Genomic DNA, 1261 nt, shown 5'->3' on the forward strand with positions numbered 1-1261 from the left:
GAACTTTTAAGAGAATTATTCTGAATTTTTTTCCTGGAATTTCATAGATCTCTCTTTCTTTAGGGTTTGTTATTGAAGATTTGTGAGTTTCTTTTGGAAGTGTCATGATTTCTTGAGTCTTTGCAATCCTTGTGTCCTTGTGTCGGTGCTTACATATTTGTGGAGACAACCATGTTTTCTGGCTTTTACAGGAATTCTTTGGCAGAGATAGGCCTTCACCAGTTAATTTAGCCTGTGATTCTAGATGGGCCAGCTGGTAATGACCCTGGGCAGGCAGAGCTTACTTTCAGGTTGTTTAGATGGCAGGGCTGTGGCCTTTGCTCTGAATTTGGGTGGAGCAGCTGTTTAGGCTCTGCTATCCAAAAAGACCACTGGCTGAGTTTTACTATCAGGCAGAGCTGCTGTGCGGGCACTGTAATCACCTCTAATCTGGCTGGGCCACAGGGTGTATTTCCTGGTCAGAAGCTATTGCTATTTGAGTCCAGCAATTGGACAGAGTTTCAGAAGGGGCCGCGAGCTTAAGTGAATCAGGCTGAATGGACCAACTGCTGTGCTCAGCAGAAGCGCACAGTTGAGAATTTCCTCCCTTTCTGGGCAGGATCTGGGAGTGGACTTTGAGGCTGAGAGAAGTGCTGATTAAACTCACAGCATGTGGCAGAACTAGTACCCGCTTCTGGTTGAAATTTGCTATGGTGGTCATCTCACTCCCTGGGTGGGGCCCAGGGTTAGGGTCTATTGCTGGGCCTGGAGGTTACCTGTTTAGGGGCTCAAGCCAGGCATCACTTCCCACCTCTTCTGGGAGCAACTAGGTTGGCTTTGAGGGTTAGCTTTGCTGTTAGCTGGTATCTCTAATTGAGTGCCGTTACTGACAGGTACACTGAGCTTTCACCAAAATCTGCATGCTGATCTCTGCAGATTTCACCTCCTTGCTTTGTTTTCACCAGATCCCACTTGGTCTAGCATGCAGTTTCACTTACATTCCTTAAGAGGTGGAGTGGGCTTTTTGGGAAGCATCTTGGAATGTTGGGAAAACTAGATGTTCACCTTCCTGGTTCTCTTTTCCAACTGTAGAGACTGAGGGATTAGAGAATCCTCTCCATGTGGTGCTATGCTGACTTGTGGGACCGGGAAAGGCAATGCAGTCCAAGCAAGACTGTTTCTTATACTCTTTCATAAGTATTTAGTTCCATGGAACACACAGGTGACTCAGGCTTATTTCCACATTTTGGCATTTCATTGAGATGTTTTTGTCTGTGGATTA

At 46.1% G+C, this 1261-nt stretch overlaps 1 annotated feature.

The window, feature by feature from the left end:
- Positions 296–1033: an enhancer, noted in NCBI's record as "NANOG hESC enhancer chr2:119097638-119098375 (GRCh37/hg19 assembly coordinates)". NCBI's record gives its function as "activates a minimal SCP1, AML or CMV promoter by ChIP-STARR-seq in naive H9 embryonic stem cells {active_cell/tissue: H9 hESC(naive)}" and the evidence as "EXISTENCE:reporter gene assay evidence [ECO:0000049][PMID:30033119]".

This window comes from Homo sapiens, chromosome 2 (genome assembly GCF_000001405.40).
Source record: "Homo sapiens chromosome 2, GRCh38.p14 Primary Assembly".
Classification (NCBI taxonomy): domain Eukaryota; kingdom Metazoa; phylum Chordata; class Mammalia; order Primates; family Hominidae; genus Homo; species Homo sapiens.